At 40.9% G+C, this 19,525-nt stretch overlaps 1 long non-coding RNA gene across 1 annotated transcript; it reads right to left on the reverse strand.

The window, feature by feature from the left end:
- Positions 1-4,382: 4,382 nt before the first annotated feature.
- Positions 4,383-18,755, reverse strand: LINC02057 (long intergenic non-protein coding RNA 2057). Its single transcript, NR_146624.1, has 3 exons — positions 18,603-18,755; positions 6,535-6,715; positions 4,383-4,688 (listed from the first exon to the last, which is right to left on the reverse strand). It is a non-coding gene; the product is annotated as a long intergenic non-protein coding RNA 2057 (long non-coding RNA).
- Between the last annotated feature and the right edge of the window lie 770 nt (positions 18,756-19,525).

Here is a 19,525-nt window from a genome sequence, read left to right on the forward strand (position 1 = left end):
CCAAAGAGTGAAGGATGATTACAAGTCTTTTACAGGAGGTGTGGTTTAGTTCAATATGTACTGTTGGTTCTGCAAATATGCTGGTGGGAGGTTGACTATGCATGTTATGTGCCATATGCCACCCTGTTGGCTGGCATGCAGTGGGAAGCCTGAAAAGCAAGGGCAGAGAAATAGATACTCTTTCTGCTTTTGAAGCACAGGCTTTAATAATAATAATTTTAAAAACAAGAGTTTTTGAAAAAAAATTCACGTAACTACAGTTGTGTTAATTCTTCATGGATTGCTTACATTGAGCACAATTTGCCTCTCAAAAAAGCAGCAGCAGATTAAATCGACCTCTTCAGATCCATAAAATCATGTTCAACTAGATATATCTCACTTTGTGTGCTTGATATGTTCTGGAAAAGTTATGTGTAAATTGAATTTTGCAAATCTGGTCATATTTCAGATAATTCTCAAGGTGCTTTCAATTTAAATTGGTTCCATTTTGTAAAGCAAATAATAACTTTGTAATGCAAATAGTTACTCCCTAGCTTATTTGTTTTGTAAGTTTGGGCTCTGGTATTTACACTTTTATTTTTCTAAAAGCAAGGTACATCTATAGATAAGAAGCAGTAGGACTTTAATTTATAAGTAATACAATGTAAAAATATAAAATATAAACTAAAATCATTTTAGAAATGTAATCTAGGAATTTAGATGTTTGCTTTTTAGAACTTTAATGTAAGAACTTGTGCCTGTCCCAAAGGTAGACCTTGTAGCATCATAGAGAAGTGCACGGTAGACTTTTCTTAAGGCAGTCTGGCAACACATAGCAAAATACGGAATCTAATTGTGAAAAGATGTATGTACCAAGAAGTTCATTGCAACATTGTTTACATTAACAAAAAATTGGAAGGAACCCAAAACATAATCAATAGAGAGATCATTTAAATAAAAACATTGTTTTAGGCCAGGAGCAGTGGCTCATGCTTGTAACTCTAGCACTTTGGGAGGCCAAGGTAGGCGGATCACTTGAAGTCAAGAGTTCGAGACCAGCCTGGCCAACATGGTAAAACCCAATCTCCACTAAAAATACAAAAATTAGGCCGGTGTGGTGGCGCACACCTGTAATCCCAGCTACTCAGGAGGCTGAGGCAGGAGAATCACTTAAACCCAGGAGGCAGAGGTTGCAGTGAGCCAAGATCATGCCACTGCACTCCAGCCTGGGTGACAGAATGAAACTCTGTCTCAAAAAGCAAGCAAACAAACAAAACCAAAAACATTATTTTTCTCTCATGCAATGAAATATTATGCTGCTGTTTAAAAGGGTAAAGTAATAAAGAACCACAATGAGATAATCATTTTCTTGCCTACCACATTGGCATTTGAAAGTTTGATCATCTACTAGTGAATGTGAAATAATAAGGTCAGGAGTGGTATGAACAAGTACTATAAAACACTCACTGTGTGGTTTTCACTGGGAGCTGTTGGTAAGGTTGGGTACCATCACGTTTGCTCATCCACAAATATTCAGGAGACTGAGATGCCGTACTCAATGTGATATGAACTTGAAATATTTACTTACAAAGTCCCCAAAAGTCAATTTTATATATTTTAAGAGATTCAAAAAGTGATGTTAAAGAATCATGTAATTTAATGAGCAAATATTAAAGTTTAATCTTCCTGAGATATTTTTACTGGAAACATCATTTACTGCTTTTTTAAGAGGAAAATAGGTATCCAGCTCTTCCAGAGCAGATTCTACATAAGATTATTTTATATATTTTCAAGTCGGGTAGTGCTTTTACTACACTTGAGTAGTGGTTTTACTGCATTTATAATACTCAGTGTTACCCACTTTGAGGTCTTTTTCAATCTATACTTCCTTTCTGGATTTACTTGGTTGAAATAAGTTATGAATTACTTGACACTCCAGTTTATGTAAATGAACCATTATTTAAGATGTGGTCCTAAAGACACCTTTAGTTACCAACATTAAATTTTTTCCACATATAGTACAGAAAAATGGGGGCAAGGAATGCTCGCCAATAATCTCGCCATCCTAACTTAATGTTCTTTGTTTTTTTGTTTTCTTCCAGGAGTACTTCTTAGAATTGTTATTTTTACAAATATGAAACAATTCAAACAACAAGTAACAGAATAGGACTCCTGTTTACTTCAGTATGGCAATAGATACTCTGAACAGCCCTCCACTGGAAACAACTAAAAATGCTAAATAAAATGTCAGAATTCAAAATTATTTTTGGGCTGGGAGCGGTGGCTCATGCTTGCAATCCCAGCACTTTGGGAGGCCGAGGTGGGTTTGAGGTCAGGAGTTCGAGACTAGCCTGGCCAACATGGTGAAACTTCGTCTCTACTAAAATTACAAAAATTAGCCAGGCATGGTGGAGGGTGCCTGTAATCTCAGCTTCTCAGGAGGCTGAGGCTGGAGAATCGCTTGAATCCCAGAAGCAGAGTTTGCAGTGAGCCGAGATAAGGCCGCTGCACTCCAGCCTGGGCAATGGAGTGAGATCCCGTCTCAAAAAAAAAAATTTTTTTTTTGAATGTACCATTGAGCTGATAGAAGAGTAAAAAATATCAGAGGCAAATAAAATAAAAGCAGGAATCCTGAAAGGTGAGAGTGCTTACCTGAATGTAGCCTTTTCCATGGAGGCATCTGTAGATCCTTGCTGACAATGATCTTAGGTTTTGATGTTGGCATGGGGTGAAAGGGACAGGAGAACAACCCCAGGGCCCAACCACGGTGAAGTCTAATACGAGATCCCCATGTAAAGCCAGGACCCCAAAAGGAAGCACCTTCAGTGTGAGGGTGAACAAGAGATAAGCCCACTCCATAGATAGAGATAGCAAGGAAACTTGCTTGTCTTGACCATTGTGCTGAGTGGAAAGGAAAAAAAGTCTTCCCTGAAAATGTATAACCACAAGCAAACCTGCACAGAAACTTGAGGTCCAAAATGTATACTATCTGTGAGGACCAAAAACACCTCAAGCTGAAATGCTTATTTTAAGTTGGTTTCAAGTTTTAGTTGCTTTCAGGTACCTGGCAGAAACAAACACAATCTTCTCTGGAGGAATCCACTTTCAAATCAGGCCTCAAAAAATTCCCACAATTGAGCACCAAAGGTTATGGTCCAACCTTCAAAACTCATAAGACACACAAGCAATCAAGACACCATGGGGGATAGCCAAGAAACCAAATAGAAGAATCAAACCCATAATGATATTAGATATTATAATTACCATCACACATAAAATATGTGAGACATTTTTTCATAATCACGTTTTTTTATTTTATTTTTTGATTTTAAGTTCCAGGATACATGTGCAGGATGTGCAGGCTTGTTACATAGGTAAACATGTGCCATGGTGGTTTGCTGCACCTATCAACCCATCACCTACGTATTAAGGCCCGCATGCATTAGCTATTTATCCTGATGCTCTCCCTCTCCCAGCCCCCCCGATAGGCCGCAGTGTATGTTGTTCCCCTCCCTGTGTCCATGTGTTCTCATTGTTCAGCTCCCACTTATAAGTGAGAACATGTGGTGTTTGTTTTTTTGTTCCTGTGTTAGTTTGCTGAGAATAATGGCTTTCAGCTTCATCCATGTCCCTGCAAAGAACATGATCACATTCCTTTTTATGGTTGCATAGAATTCCATGGTGTATATGCACCACATTTTCTTTATCCAGTCTATTATTGATGGGCATTTAGGTTGGTTCCATGTCTGCTATTGTGAATAGTGCTGCAATGAACACACGCATGCATGTATCTTTTAGTAGAATGATTTCTATTCCTTTGGTTATATACCCAGTAATGGGATTGCTGGGTCAAATGGTATTTCTGGTTCTAGGTCTTTGAGGAATCATCACACTGTCTTCCACAATGGTTGAACTAGTGTATATTTGCAACAACAGTATAGAAAGCGTTCCCATTTCTCCATAGCCTTGCCAGCATCTGTTGTTTCTTTACTTTTTATTTTTATTTATTTACTTATTTATTTATTGAGACAAGAGTTTCACTCTGTCACCCAGGTTGGAGTGTAGTGGCACAATCTCAACTCGCTGCAACCTCTGCCTCCTGAGTTCAAGTGATTCTCCTGCCTCAGCAGGTCCCAAGTAGCTAGGACCACAGGCATGCACCACCATGCCCAGCTAATTTTTGCATTTTTAGTGGACACAGGGTTTTACCACATTGGCCAGGCTGGTCTTGAACTCCTGACCTCAAGTGATCTGCTCACCTCGGCCTCTCAAAGTGTTGGGATTACAGGCATTAGCCACTGCACTTGGCCTCTTGACTTTTTAATAGTTGCCATTCTGACTGGTATCTCGTTGTTTTGATTTGCGTTTCTCTAATGATCAGTGACGCTGAGCTTTTTATCGTGTTTTTTGGATGCATAAATGTCTTCTTTTGAGAAGTGTCTGTTCATGTTTTTTGCCCACTGTTTAATGGGGTAGTTTGTTTTTTTCTTGTAAATTTGTTTAAGTTCCTTGTAGACTCTGGATATTAGACCTTTGTCAGATGGATAGATTGCAAAAGTGTTCTCCCGTTCTATAGGTTGTGTCTGTTCACTCTGATGATGGTTTCTTTTGCTGTGCAGAAGCTCTTTTGTTTAATTAAATCATATTTGTCAATTTTTGCTTTTGTTGCAATTGCTTTTGATGTTTCGTCATGAAATCTTTGCCCACGCCTATGTCCCAAATGAAATATGTGAGTTTAATTGGCAAAAAGTAATAACAGAGGGGATTAAAATTATATAAGGAGAAAGGACTAAAACTAATAATCTTACAAATTTCAAAACAAATAGAATTTATAGAATAAAAAAAGTTGTAATTGAAATAAAAATTCTAATAGAATGGTTAAACAGATTAGGCACAGTCAAAAATGAAGAAGGAAGAAGAAGAAAAGAAGAAGAAGAAGAAGAGGAAGAAGAAGAAGAAGAAGAGGAAGAAGAAGAAGAAGAAAAAGAAGATAGGCGAAGTGGCTTATGTCTCATGCCTGTAAGTCCAGTAATTTGGGAAAGTTAGGTGTGGGGATTGCTTGAAGCCAGGAGTTCGAGACCAGCCTGAGTAACAAAGGGAGACCTGGTCTCTACAAAATATTTTTTTTAACAAATTAGCGGGATATGGTGATGCACACCTGTGGTCCCAGCTACTTAGAAGGTTGAGGCAGGATGATTGCTTGAGCCCAGGAGTTTAAGGCTGCAGTGAGCTATGACTGCGCTGCTGAAATCTAGCCTGGGCAACAGAGTGAGACCTTGTCTCTTAAAAAAATAAAAAAACTGGTAAAAATTATTCATAAGGTTGAACAGGGAAGCAATTGAAAAGTATAAAAGGGAAACCAAGACAGTTTATAAGATCTTACATAGATCTAATAGGAGCTTTGGGGAAAAGACTCAACTTTGATAGTAATCACGGAAGGTTTCTTGGGGAAAAAAAAGAATAAATATAGAAGTGACTGGATGACTTAAGCAAAAATTGGGAACTGGATGACTTAAGCAAAAAATTGGCCCCTTGTCTTTGTTGCAGGACCCTAACTCTGAGGTTATTTTACATGTAACTGGAAATCCACAGAGAAGAACTGGCAAATGCAATCAAAATTTATCAAGCTATATATAGCTAAAACCTGGGTAGACGTATTGGAGAGAAGCTTACCCTATAGCTATGAAGTCTGATATTTATCTTCTTTATGATTCTATATAATTAGCTGCATTTAAGGAAACAAGAAAACAGTGTCTCCTGAGTCTGCGTATCCATACACTTGAATACACTCCCAAATAAGCCCATTCAAAGCATTTTTAAAACGGTAATTTTGCAGTATCAGATCTTGTTTTTAATTAAGGTTTAACTTCCACCCTCCCTTGCATTGCATTGAAGGATTAGGCCAGGCCACATCACATCTGGCTGGGCCTGTGATGTCTCAGGGATTTATGAATGACAAGCTGTATTAGAACTGTGGTCGCATGCAGTCATCCTGAAATCAGAAGCTGAGTCCTCCCTTCCCAGCGGCGCTGGGTTTGGGGTAAACAGGTAATCAAAGGCAACACTATCTCTGCACTCTCTTTCTTTTTCCAGAATCTTGCTTCATGAAAATTCAGAACCTGAATCTTGTGGCCTTCTCTAATGAGTAAACCATCATCAAAGTCAAGTGATTTATTTCTTAATGTTGGCTATGAAGAGGGCAAGGGAAGAAAGAGGCTGGAATCAGTGTGAGAGAGAATCAGAACAAGACAGGAGGGCACTGCAAGTTCACCAGCAGGAGAGGCTGCCCTTGCACCCCGGCCAAGAGGTCCGTGGAAAAGCAAGGTCATGGGCTTTGTCTATCGGAGTTCTCGCTAATAAGCTGAAAAATATGCAAACTAGCGAGTTCACACAGAAGTTCAGACATTCTTGGGGCATTACTGAGAATTATTTTGAAAACATACAATAAGATTATTGAGGGGCTGATTTGTCAGTGAGCCGCAGCAGAGGCTCTGGGAATGTGGGAGCCTTTCCTGAAGCCGCCGTGGTGGCCGCGGGTTGTGCAGAGACACTTACCTCCCTGTGAACAGGGCTGTCTGTGTATGGTCTGTCAGACTGGCTGGGCAGCTGTCTTCCTTTCTTCAATGACTGCTGCCACCGAGGCCACCTCCGGCAAATCACTTGAGGTCATGCCTTGGTTTCTTAAAGCCCCGGCATCTTGAAGCCCTAGGCTTTTGCCTCTTCCAGGAACAATATGCTGGAAAACAGCAAGGAGAAAAGCTGTTATACCAAAAGACTGATCTGGGAGAAACAGAGACCTAGAGATAGACACTAAATGGGACTGGGATAATAGCATGTGGAAGTGTTTTGAAAAGTTCCAAGTGCGACATAAACAAAGCTAATACTATTTCTATATAACAGCATGGCTTAATGGATCCACAAACTGTAAGCACTGGGCCATGGACAAACTGGTCCTTAAGAATAGAACCAATAGTACCACCTTTCCTCACTGCGCCTAATCCATAATTCAGCCTTGTGGAAATTCCACTAGACTTTGCGGTGTACCATACATATTTGGTAGCATGTGAGTAGAGTCAGAAACTTAGCATCAGTTATGGTCAGATAAGACAGATAAGACAGGAGGGAATAGAAAGTGGCATCTAATCGTTCACATTAATATGCATTACAATTGTCAAAGCACTTTTGCTTTGTAGCCTCACAACTGTGTGAAATAGTTAGGAGCTGTCATCTCTATTTTCCAGGCAAGGAAACCGAGACTCAGCCAGGTGCCCCAGTTCACCCCAGGTCACAGGGCTGGTGAGCAGGTCCCTCACAGCTGTGTAGTCAGTGGCCTCTAGGATACTCTGCAGAAACGTGGCAGGATAGCATTCTAAATCCAGGAATTTAACCAGTTGAACTGCAGGCAAAGCAGTAGAGACATGAAGCTCTTTCCTTTTCTGGGGCTCTCAATATTGCTGAAAAGCTGAGGTATGCCTGGGGAGAGGGTATGTTTGACTCTCCTAAATTATACCTCACCTGCTATACCTTCTCTTTCAGAGCCCCGTGTGCTCGACAAAGGAGAGCTTGCTCCAGAAATTGCAACCTGGTAATATTTGGCACATTCAGCACTTTCCATCTAGATGTTATCTCATTAACCTTCCTGGTGTCCCAGGGAGGCATGTGCTACATGCAATGTTGCTGAGCCTCTATCGCTCTAGGAAAAGGTAGTCCATTCTCCAGTCACCTCAGGATGAAGGCCTTTGGCTCTGCAGCTATTTTGCCAGGTCCCAGGTGCTTTTAAAGGAAATAACTTGGGTGCAGGTGGCAAATGCTTTCTTTTGCTATTTTCTGAATACAGGTATTTAGAAGTCAATTATTGCTATAAAAAGGGGGCATTTACTTCTCTATAATGTTACTGAGTAATGTATAGATGCTTTCTTTATGTCTGGCATTTAACCCTTATAACAATGTGGGAAGTAGGTATTTTTACTCTTATTTTATAGGAAACAGTCACTTAGAGATGAAATACCTTGCTCAAAGACACACTGGTATTAGGTGGCAGCATAGGGTCTGTTATGAGGTCTGGGTGACTTCTAAGCCAAGACTTGAGGTGCCAGCATCCAACTTACAGGGTTGTTCTATGCTGCGACCTCATGAGCTAAGGGAAGGAATGAGGACCCAAATAACACAGCCTCACTGGCACCACCTAAATCCACAGGCTTCCCCACTGCCCACTGCAAGCCTCAAAGCAGGTAGGGGGCGGGGGTTGTAAAGGGAAGGCATGGGCAGCCTGAGACCCCAGACTCAGCTTCCCTAAGGTTGCTCATCCAATGTGGAGAAGGTCTTTTGAGTGCCTCTAATGTGGAGAGGTGTTTCAAGGCTCTTTGTGCTGTCAGGGCAGGGAGCCTGTGCCCTTGTGCTCCAGAGAATCAGGTGGGATTCTCAGAAACAAGGCGAAAGAAAAAGAGAGGACAGGAGCTGGAGAATCCATGCTAAAGAAGAGGAGCAGGGGACTGGAGAGGGCCAGCTCACACTGTTCAGTAAACGCTGTGATAGAAATGTGCCTGGTGTGGCTAAAAGAGGACTTGTTGATTTGTGAAAGAGTGCTATGTTTCAATATGTGGGGGCTGCATTTTAAGAGCTGTCCTACAAATTTTAGAAGGAAAAGAAATGTCCCACGGGCAATCTCAATCAAATGAAGTGGTGTATGCTTAATCAAATCAACAAGAATGGAACTTTTCAGAGGTTTTAAGATGCCTTTATTGTATTTATATTAGCCTCTGGGGTTAATGAGAAAGTCTTGCTAATAATGGTTTTTATATAAAATTGGTTGTAACATAAATTAAAAAGAAAAAATTTGGTTGTAAGAGGAGAGGTAGTTATCACTCAGGTTAATGATGACCCAGTGCCATAATTTCACAGCTGGTAAAATCAACTTGCAGTAGCATTTGAGTTGTTCCTTTAATCCAGGTCTTGGACACAGGAACCAGTGGCCATGAAGCAGAGCTGCTCCACACCGGGCTGCCTGGTGACTTGCATACCTTGTATAGAGCTTTTACATGGTCAGAGAGACTGACCATATCCAATACTCATTTTTACATTCTTCCATGGAAAAGTGGATTCAGATTAGGATCAGCCCTACTAATAAGCACCCCAGACATAATCAGCCACCTTCCCTGAGGCTACATTTCTCATACAGTGTCCTTGTTCTGGGTATGTGACTAATCACAGAGCTCTGATAAAGTAGTGTGTGTTTAGCGTAAATTATAAACTGGATGTTGGGCTGACATTTTGGCCTGATAGAGCTAAAACAGGTATTTCCAGCTTTGTCAGATCAAACTTATCACCTAATGGATACTTTCGGAAGTCTGTAGCTGATTCCTCATCTACTTAAGTTTCAGTAGCTTCTCTTCTCCAGATGAACATAAGATTACAAACTTCAAGTAGCCATTTGGTTAGTACCATTGCCATTAAGTAGGTGAATAATAAACTGCTCAAGGACTCACACTTGCCCTTTCTTGTCCTCTTCCAAAGGGACAGACTCTTACTCTCAGTAGCCCATATCAGTATTTGAGCATTCTTACAGGCAAATTCTCCCTTAAATCCAGCCAGAGTCTCTCCTGCTTTAATTCCATTTCCTCTTTCACTTAGGTCTTCAGAAGTCTTGTAGAATAACAGTTTGACACCCCTCCCATAAAACTCTCCAGGAGCTTGGAAACAGCAACCAAGTTCTTTCATAGGCTTCTCTACCGTAAGGTAAAACTTCTGATTCCTTTTTTTTTTTTTTTTTTTTTGACAGAGTCTCATTCTGTTACCCAAGCTGAGTGTAGTGGCATGATTTTCTGTTTCATCAGCTTTAGATAAGTCATAAGAATACTGCAGCCTTCACCTCCCCAGTTCAAGCAATCCTCCCACTTCAGCCTCCCAAGTAGCTGGTACTAGAGACACATGCCACCACGCCAGGCTAATTTTTTTATTTATTAAAAAAAATTTTTGGTAGAGACGGAGTCTAGCTATGTTGCCCAGGCTACTGTCTAACTCCTGGACTCAAGTGATCCTCCCTGCTCAGCTTCCCAAAGTGCTGGGATTACAAGCATGAACCACTGCACCCAGCAACCTCTGATTCCTTTTAACTTTCTAGTTTCATTCTGTTCCTCCTAGTAGAGGACTCCTGAATCTTCTCTGGGTTTCCCCCATCTTTATTAAAGTGTATAGGATTCAACTAAGGATTAATTATCTCTCAAAATGGAAGTCTCAGGCAGAGTGGCTCCAGCCCAAGCAAACAACCAAGGCTCTCTCTACAGTTTCTAGTAGGTTGGGGATGTCCCCCACTCATGTTGCAAGATGTCTGTCTGCAACAGTTCCAGACATCCCATGCAATACAACAATGCCCAGTGAAAAGAGAGGGTCTCCTCCTATGAGTCTCTCTGTACTATAAGAAAAGCCTTTTCCCAAAGCTCCCTAGGTGGCTTACAGTCAGACCTCCTTGGCTAAGATTGGGCCACAGGCCAAGGGCATGAGCCTGCCAAGACTGCCTGGACTAATAACCCTTCATGTCCCCACCCAGCCTGGCAAGGGGAGTTGTTTCCTGAGCACATGACCTTCAAACAAAATCAAGGCTCCACAAGCAAGGTGGAGAAGGGTGAGAAGGGGCAGTGTGGCTAAGTGGCAATCAGCTGTCTTTGTCACAGGGGAGCAAAAACGGGGCCCAAATGATTCTCCATATAGTTCAAAATAGTAATAATAACACAACAAAACAAGCAATTACTGAGAGCCCACTAAATACCAGTTATTGTGAGATCTAGCAGGTTCACAAAGATAAACAAGATGTGGTCTTTGACCTGCAGAGTTAGCAATCAAGTTTGGGAGAAGATACATCCCATATAATTCCAAAACTGTATAGTAAATGATAAAAGAGGCATGCATAGCATGTTCTGGAAACACAGTGAATGGAGGCTGGCTGGACTGGCTGTAAGTGCTGAGAATGAGTTAGCTTAAGAAAAACAAGACTTGGGAAGAACTATGAGTTATGTGACTTCTGATTTTCTAATCTTTGTGTAGTATTTTATGGTTTTTTTTTTTTTTTTTTTTGAGACACAGTCTCACTCTGTCGCCCAGGCTGGAGTGCAGTGGCGCAATCTCGGCTCACTGCAAGCTCTGCCTCCTGGGTTCACGCCATTCTCCTGCCTCAGCCTCCTGAGTAGCTGGGACTACAGGTGCCCGACACCAGCCTGGCTAATTTTTTGTATTTTTAGTAGAGACGGGGTTTCACCGTGTTAGCCAGGATGGTCTCGATCTCCTGACCTCATGATCCACACGCCTCAGCTTCCCAAAGTGCTGGGATTACAGGCAGTATTTTATGTTTTATTATTATGGCTCATCTAAAGTTGATGAAATAGAAAATCCTTTCAAGCCTTGAGGGTGGTGTGAATTTCAAGGGTCATTTCCTATGAGTTCATTTTTTCATATTTCGTGTCTGGATGAAATCCATTTTATGATGAGTGAATTCCATGTTTAAACAAGGAAGCCACTCATCCAGTAGGAAAATGTGTGAAGGAGAAAATGAATGCAGTCTTGATCATCATGATGTCACTGGTTCTGAAAATGGGCTTGTTTAAGTATTATGAGAAAACTTCAGTAATTTGGACTGAGGAGGAATTGGTCAGAATGAGTGAAAGTCATTTGGAATTATTAAAACACAGTTTTTATTACTTTTATTTAAGTCTAGCTTAAGTTTAAAATTGGATGACAGAGTTGCTAATGAGGAATGTGTATTAAATTGTTAAGAATGATTTCCTTAGCAAATTCACCATCTCCCTAAAAGTGCTCCTCAGATGGTAAGGGACACTAGAAAACAAGTTATTCTTTTCTCCTGTGTCTTTCTTTTTTCAAGTTTTTACGAGATTTACACTTCACTAGGAAAATTTGCTTTAACAAATATAAACTTTAGCCTGGTCTCTGTGGAGTTTATTATAGAATTAGGAAAATGTAAAACGTAATTGCTTTTTAAAATCTTAGTTACAGAACTGGAGTTGTGTGTCCATGCTCTCACATAAGAATACAAACTTTTTTTATAAATCAATAAGAAAAAGATAAACATTGCAATAGACACACAGGCGAAAGTCATGAACAGGCAATTCAAGGCAACAAATCATATAAAATAGATTTCTTAATAATCACATAAATGAAAGTTAAAACAAAGTATCACCTATCAAATTGGCAAAGGTTTTTGTACAACATAAATAAAGTGCTTGTGCCCACGGCTGACGAGAGTATGGAGGAATGAACACCAAAGTTTTATTCTGTATACAGAGATGTATATATAAGGATGTTTGTTCTAGCACAAAAGTTTAAAATAAAATGTCCATTAATAGACAACTGGTTAAATAATGGTGTAGTCACATAAGGGAATACTACACATCCATTAAAAAGAATTAGGTATGTCTCGATTCTTTAAAATTTTAAGATGTATTACATAAACAAACCAAGGGACAGAGCAGAATAAAAGTTATCTGTGAGTTCATATTCAGAGATATTAGTAATTATGTTTTCTGGAAGGACATATGATAAACTATTACGGGAGTTACAGTGATTACTTCAAGAAAAGAACTAGAAGTAAATGGTGGAAGATTTCTACTTTTCATTTTAAACCTTTCTGTATGATTTGATTCTGTGCAAGGACTGCTTTATTTTAAAATGTGAAATGTTTTTATAAAAAAGAAAAATAGGTTACATCTTTGTAGTTAGTTGACATGGAAAATATCTACAATATAAAAAGAGAAAGATCTGGTGCAGAATGACCAGAGTGTTATGACATTCCATTATGTTAACGATTTCATTTATATATAAATATAGATGTAGACAAATATAATGTTTGTATTAAAAAACCTGGAAGGGCTGGGTGCGGTGGCTCACGCCTGTAATCCCAGCACTTTGGGAGGCCAAGGCAGGTGGATCACTTGAGGTCAGGAGTTCGAGACCAGCCTGGCTAACATGGTGAAACCCTGTCTCTACTGAAAATACAAATATTAGCCTGGCATGGTGGCATGTGCCTGTAATTCCAGCTATTCGGGAGGCTGAGGCATGAGAATCGCTTGGACCCAGGAGGCAGAGATTACAGTGGGCCGAGATTGAGCCACTGAACTCCAGCCTGGGTGACAGAGCAAGACTCTGTCTCAAAACAAAACAAAACAAAACAAAACAAAACAAAACAAAACAAAACAAGAAAAGCCTGGAAGGATATATCTAAACTCTCATTGCAGCTGACCCTTAGACAGAGGTGGAAAAGTGTTGAGATTGCAGAAACATTTACTTTCTCTGTACTCATTAATTTTGTATAGTGGGCTGGGCACTGTGGCTCAGGTATAAAATGAAAAGTAGAAATCTTCCATCATTTACTTCTAGTTCTTTTCTTGAAGTAATCACTGTCACTCCCGTAATAGTTTATCATATGTCCTTCCAGAAAACATAATTACTAATATCTCTGAATATGTACACACAGATAACTTTTATTCTGCTCTGTTCCTTGGTTTGTTTATGTAATACATCTTAAAATTTTAAAGAATCGAGACATACCTAATTCTTTTTAACAGATGCGTAGTATTCCCTTACGTGACTACACCGTTATTTAACCAGTTCTTTATTAATCCCAGCCCTTTGGGAGGCTGAGGCAGGTGGATCGCTTGAGCTCAGGAGTTCGAGGCCAGCCTGGGCAACATAGTGAAACCCTGTTTCAATTAAAAAAAAAAATGACTGAGCTAATTTTCTACACTGCTAGTAAATTATCAGAAAGGAAAACATAAATTTTTCTGATTGGGAGGAAAACTCAGAGAAGAAAGACTACCCAGCCCTCCCGTGCATGCTCCCATTTGCATGAAGCACTCCTGTCTGCCCTATGCAAAAACAAGGCTCGGTCTCCATCTCTCACCTGGCTCTTCCAGGCTTACTCTCACTCATTTCCCTTTTAAATCCCACCTACAGGGAAGCCTTTACAGTTCAGAGTGGGATAGGTAAGAAATCTCTCCTAGGATCCAGTTTACCTACCCGAGTCTTACCCAACTAGAAAAACTTGAAAATAAAAATCAAAAACAGAATGTTCAAACAGGACACTGAAAACTAGCCTAACCTGTAAATGAAATCAGCACCTTTTAGAGCACCATGGATTGGTAAGAGGAGCCAGCAGCCAGCTGAAATGAAAGGAACCCTGGGCTGGAGAAACAGGCCCTGGCACTCCCAGGGACCATCTGTGAGGTCCCTCCACTCTTTGAGCCTCCTCATTTTTCTCATTTGCTCATCATATCTATTTCTCTTAACCGTAGAGGCTGCTATGAGAATCTGTGGGAGCAGAAGGTATGCTATGAAAATGAAAGATGATTAAGCAATGCGTAAGCCCTGGAGGGTAAGGCTTGAATCGTGGGTTCGTTATGAATATTGCCTAGGAAATCAGGAGAACCCAAGATGTTCATTAACCCTAATACGCTCCGACATTATTAAGAAACTGCTGGCCGGGCGCGGTGGCTCACGCCTGTAATCCCAGCACTTTGGGGGGCCGAGGCGGGCGGATCACGAGGTCAGGAGATCGAGACCATCCTGGCTAACACGGTGAAACCCCGTCTCTACTAAAAATACAAAAAATTAGCCGGGCGTGGTGGCAGGTGCCTGTAGTCCCAGCTACTCGGGAGGCTGAGGCAGGAGAATGGCGTGAACCCGGGAGGCGGAGCTTGCAGTGAGCCGAGATCGCGCCACTGCACTCCAGCCTGGGCGACAGAGCGAGACTCCGTCTCAAAAAAAAAAAAAAAAAAAAGAAACTGCTATGACAACCCAATTCTAAAAATTCTTTTCAATTACTTTTCATATCAAGATCTCAAAAACCCTTAAATGTCACTTTAAGGTTTACATCATGACTGTACAATAATAGGTGTGAATACTACTGGGCAACAAATGTATCCCTATTGACATATTAATACATGCTCCAGCATCTCCCCTCCTTCATAGATAATGAAAAGTTGTTGGGTTTTTTTTGTTGTTGTTGTTACTGGTGAGAGCCACTATTACAGTAAAAAATAAAATAAAATAAAATCAATTTTTTAAAGGCAGCTCAGATGTGTCCCAGTGCTGAAATCTCAGTTGAAAGTATAAATCAGATTCCCAGTTTGCTGGGGAAACCAGAAGAAGAGGCTTGAGCAGACACACACCAGGGGAAGTGGCTGAGCAGAAGTTCCTAAAGCTCAGGCCACTATTAACCTCTCAAGCAGTTCTTCTTTGCCATTTGTTTGAATCTCATTCATTATTACTCTAGTTACCAAACATTCCTTGTGCTGATTCACAAAACAAGATAATTTTTTGTTAAGTTGAGAAAATATTTAAATGACAAGGTAGATGATGGTTATTTGCAGAATTGTGTTCCCCCAAAAAGGATATATTGCAGTCCTAACTCCCATCAGTCCTAACTCCCATACCTCAGAATGTGGTCTTATTTGGAAACAGGGTCTTTGCACATTTAACCGAGTTCAAGTGAGGTCATTAGGATGGGCCCTACTCCAATAAGACTGGTGTCCTTACGAAAAGGGAAAATTTGGATACAAAGACAGACTCACACAGAAGGAAGAAGATACAAAGAAACAGGAAGAAGGCCATGTGAAGAAGGAGGATTTGAGGGAGGCAGCTAAGCCCAGGAGCCCCTGAGGCTGCAGGAAGCTAGGGGGGTCTAATGGCCTCCTCCCCAGCACCTTCGGCGGGAACGTGGCTGTGACAACATCTTCATTTTGGACCTCTGGTCTCCAGAACTGTGAGACAATACATTTTTATCACATAGGTCTGCACCCATTTTGTGAGACTTTCTTATGGCAGTCCTAGGGAACTAATACATCTACTAAAGTCACAGTTCTTAACAATGGTCAGAAAGTGGAGTAAGAGTAAAACCTCAGCTGATTTCAGTGCGGGATGTTTGTGTGACGACATACATAACAGGAGCTCATGGCTTCTCCATTGCAGGGGTGGGTTTTTACTGAAAACCCTCAGCCTGGAGGTGGTTCCCTTCCTGCAGAGTGCAGAAAGCCAGTTAAACCCCTCCTTCAGCGGCAGGGCGGAGGGGAGAGGCCCAGAGCCCTGCCCATGCCAGCAGGGAGGGTGCTATCCTAAGCTAGACCAGTGCTTGGCTCTGTGCAGGAGCTAACACTGTGCACAGCTGCTCAAGCCCTATCTGTCACCCAGTAGAGACAAAGACAGTGACACAGCTCCTCAAAGGGGATGAGAGTCCTAAGCCCAGCAGCCAGGCAGTGACTCTTCTACACCAGCCCTAGAAGGTACGAATCAGAGGCCAGTGACGTCTCAAACCAACAGAAACAGAAAAACTCAGGAATATCAGTACCTGGACCCCATCTGGCCGTGGATTTTTTTCTTGTGTTTTATTTTTGTTATACTTCAAAACTTCTTTAGAGAGTAAAAATGAGCACTAAAACTAGAGCCCCAGCACATAATTTTTGCTTATATTTGTCGGAATATAATTTACTCCTAACTCTGTGTGTGTGTATCATTCTATTATATGGAATCGGTTTTTAGCTCATCCTTTTGTTATCTGTTGGAAGCCAGGAAATAAAAACAAAAATAAGCAGATATTGTTGAAGAGAGGACCCACGTGGACCAAGAAGTCCCCACATGACGGCAGCCCTGAGTGGGCAGAGCGAGACCTGGAAGCTGCCGTAGCAGGAAGGTGCAGCCCTCACTCAGACCCACCCTCAATCAGTGCAGGGTCAGACACAAGCCTCAGGACCTAGCCTTTGTTGTCCTTCCTTCAGCGACTCCTAAGACCCAGCTCCGCTCCCTTTCATCTAAAGAGTAGGCCGGGGTAGGAGGGGAGGGATGACTGACATCACACAGGATGCTAGAAAATAATGTCATAAATTTGAGGTAATTTCCCCCGTTCACGTCACCTTAGAAAAAGGCCTTCTTTTGTCAAAATTAAAACCATTTACAAAAGTGCTGGTTTGTTGTTGTTTTGAAGAATGTGAACAGCTAGGTGTTTTCCCTGGGACTCAGTTTCAAAATGAACAAACGGACACCTGCCTGAAAAAGGAAAAAACGGAGTCAGCGATGTCATCATCCTTCCTCAGCAGCACTCCAGGTGAGAGGAGCCGCTCCTGGGTCCCACTGTCCTCAAACAGGGACTGCATGGTGCTTCAGAAGCCGCCCAGGCACGGGAGGGAAAGGAGGAAAGGTCAAGTTGTTTGTACATTTGGTCTTACTATGACTGGGCTGGTAAAATTGTTATTCTGAGAGCTCCTTGTTCATCTGGCTTTTAAATACTTATTATGCTTTTTTTTTTTTTTTTTCTGAAGGGTGAGAGAGAAGCAAAATTTCCACATTGTGAACTGTCACGGATTTTTCCTGTGCAGTACAGAGTGACAGCAAGGTGGTTCTAAAACATGTGATTTATTTATAAACATATATGGAAATATTTTTAAAATTAAAAAATGCCAAGGGTGAGGCTGGGTCATAGGCAACCATGAGAAGTAAGATGTTTGTTCTGGAGGCCGGTGTTAGCACTCTTCCACGAGTAGTTTTAGAGCAATCTAGGGTCAAGTGGAAACGTTCTGACTATACTGCCCTGCAGTTTTGTTTCAAGAGCATCTGGATCCCAGTTCCGGGGAAGCTGATTTGAGTTGCTCTGTGCTTGAAATACAACCTTGTTCTGTAGAGTTCCCAAGACGAACGCTGAGTGGGTAGTATTTAAAGAACAGCTTGGCAGTCCCTGTGCCCTGAGCCCTCACCTTCATTTCCTCCTGATCCTTTCCTTTGTGCTGCGTCTTTCCCTTGCAAGGACGCACGCATGCAGACAGAGGAGGAGGCCAGCAGAGGATGGGGAAGTAGTTAATGCAACTAGCACACCCTTCCCAGGTTCACTCTGCCACCTTTCTATTCTTTCCAGTCTATTCTCACTACTCCATTCTAGTTGGGAGTGTTTCTTCAGTTGCTTTAAGTAGCGATGGGGAGAGGATGTTTGGTCAAAGGGCATCGAGATGGGAACAGGAGAATCAAGGAGAGGAAGTAAGGGGCCAGAGATAAAGAAATAAGAGCTAGGAGGAGGGAAGTAAATAGAAGCAAAGATGATGAATAATACCAGGTACACAATAGACAGGGAGCGAAATGAAAAAGGAGCAGTACATAGAGGTTGTGATGCAGAAAGGAACAATTCAAAATAGAAAAATGTAAGAAACCTGAAAACAAACAAACTTAGAAGCCCATACAGGAAAGCAAAGAACCAAATGGAAGTAAGAAACAGAACCCCAAACAGGAAGGACGTCTGAATGAGAAATGTGATTGAGGGAAGGAACAGAGGAGCCTTTGTGGTGTGTTTGTAGATTAGAGGGAAAACGACAGAACAGAGAGAATCCAAGAGTGTTTATTCCTTGCACCTGGCAAACAAAAAATTCATTATTTTTTAATCATGGAAGAAGTATCTCTAAGAGCACTGGGCCTTTCATGCTACCGGCCTGTCTCTTACTCATCTCAATCCCTTAGGATTCTTTTAAAAGCGTAAGGAAACCCAGCACAAGGAAAACCAAATTTCCACCCAGATGCTATTTATATGAAGCTTATTTTATAGAGGTGAGTCCTCATGGCCCTTAGAGTTCAAGCTGGGTTACCTGTTCCCAGTGGTGAATGATGTCCAGCTTTTTGGTCCCTGTAAATCCCAGGTAAATGACAAAGATATCTCAGTCCCTTAAAAACACGGGTAAAAAATGAAATCATTATTTGCATGATTCTCATTTCCGAAGCCTGCCTTACCATTAATAAGTTAGAGGTTGCCTTGTAAGTTTAAATAATTTAGGAAATGGAGTAATAAAAAAAAGTAAGTAAAGCATAAGCCGAAAAATATAACACATACCCAGGAGAAGGAAAGATTAGTTATTTCATTACTGCAAATTGCTGTTACTAAACATTATGATAAATTACCAAAAAGATGCCTCTTCACCCCCTTCTATAATTTCAGGTTATTAATTGTATTCACATACAAGTGATTCTTTCCTTCTATGCCTCTCTTGCCCTGTTTCTCTAATGAGGAAACAGGAAAAAAAATGCAGTAGATAAAATGCTTAAATTGAGGCTGAGGCAAATGAAAAAAGATATCAGAAACAAATAACATTATCAGCTTTTAGCTCCATAATAAGCTCTTGTTTATTTAGACCCTATTAATTTGGAATTTATAATAACTTGATGGGGACCTGGGCAGAAATTTTCCTTCCATTTAGCAAACTCTGTCTTGCTAAGTAGTGCAGAAGAATGATGTAAATGAGATTACAGGAGGAATGTTTGAAATACATCTTTGAGCACTTCAGGCAATCCCTTATATATGAATAATTAATATAAGAATACATATCATTCTTATCCAATAATTATCTGGCAGTTCAGAAGGAATTTGTTAGGTCACCCTGCAGAGTAACAAGATGTGTGTTTGTCACTAAATAGTTCTATGACCATAGGCAAGGCACTTAACTTTTTCAGCCCTTATTTTTCTTACCTAAAATTGGATTGATAATATCAACTCTGCCTAGTTTGGGAGGTTGTT

Source organism: Homo sapiens, chromosome 5, assembly GCF_000001405.40.
Source record: "Homo sapiens chromosome 5, GRCh38.p14 Primary Assembly".
Classification (NCBI taxonomy): Eukaryota; Metazoa; Chordata; class Mammalia; order Primates; family Hominidae; genus Homo; species Homo sapiens.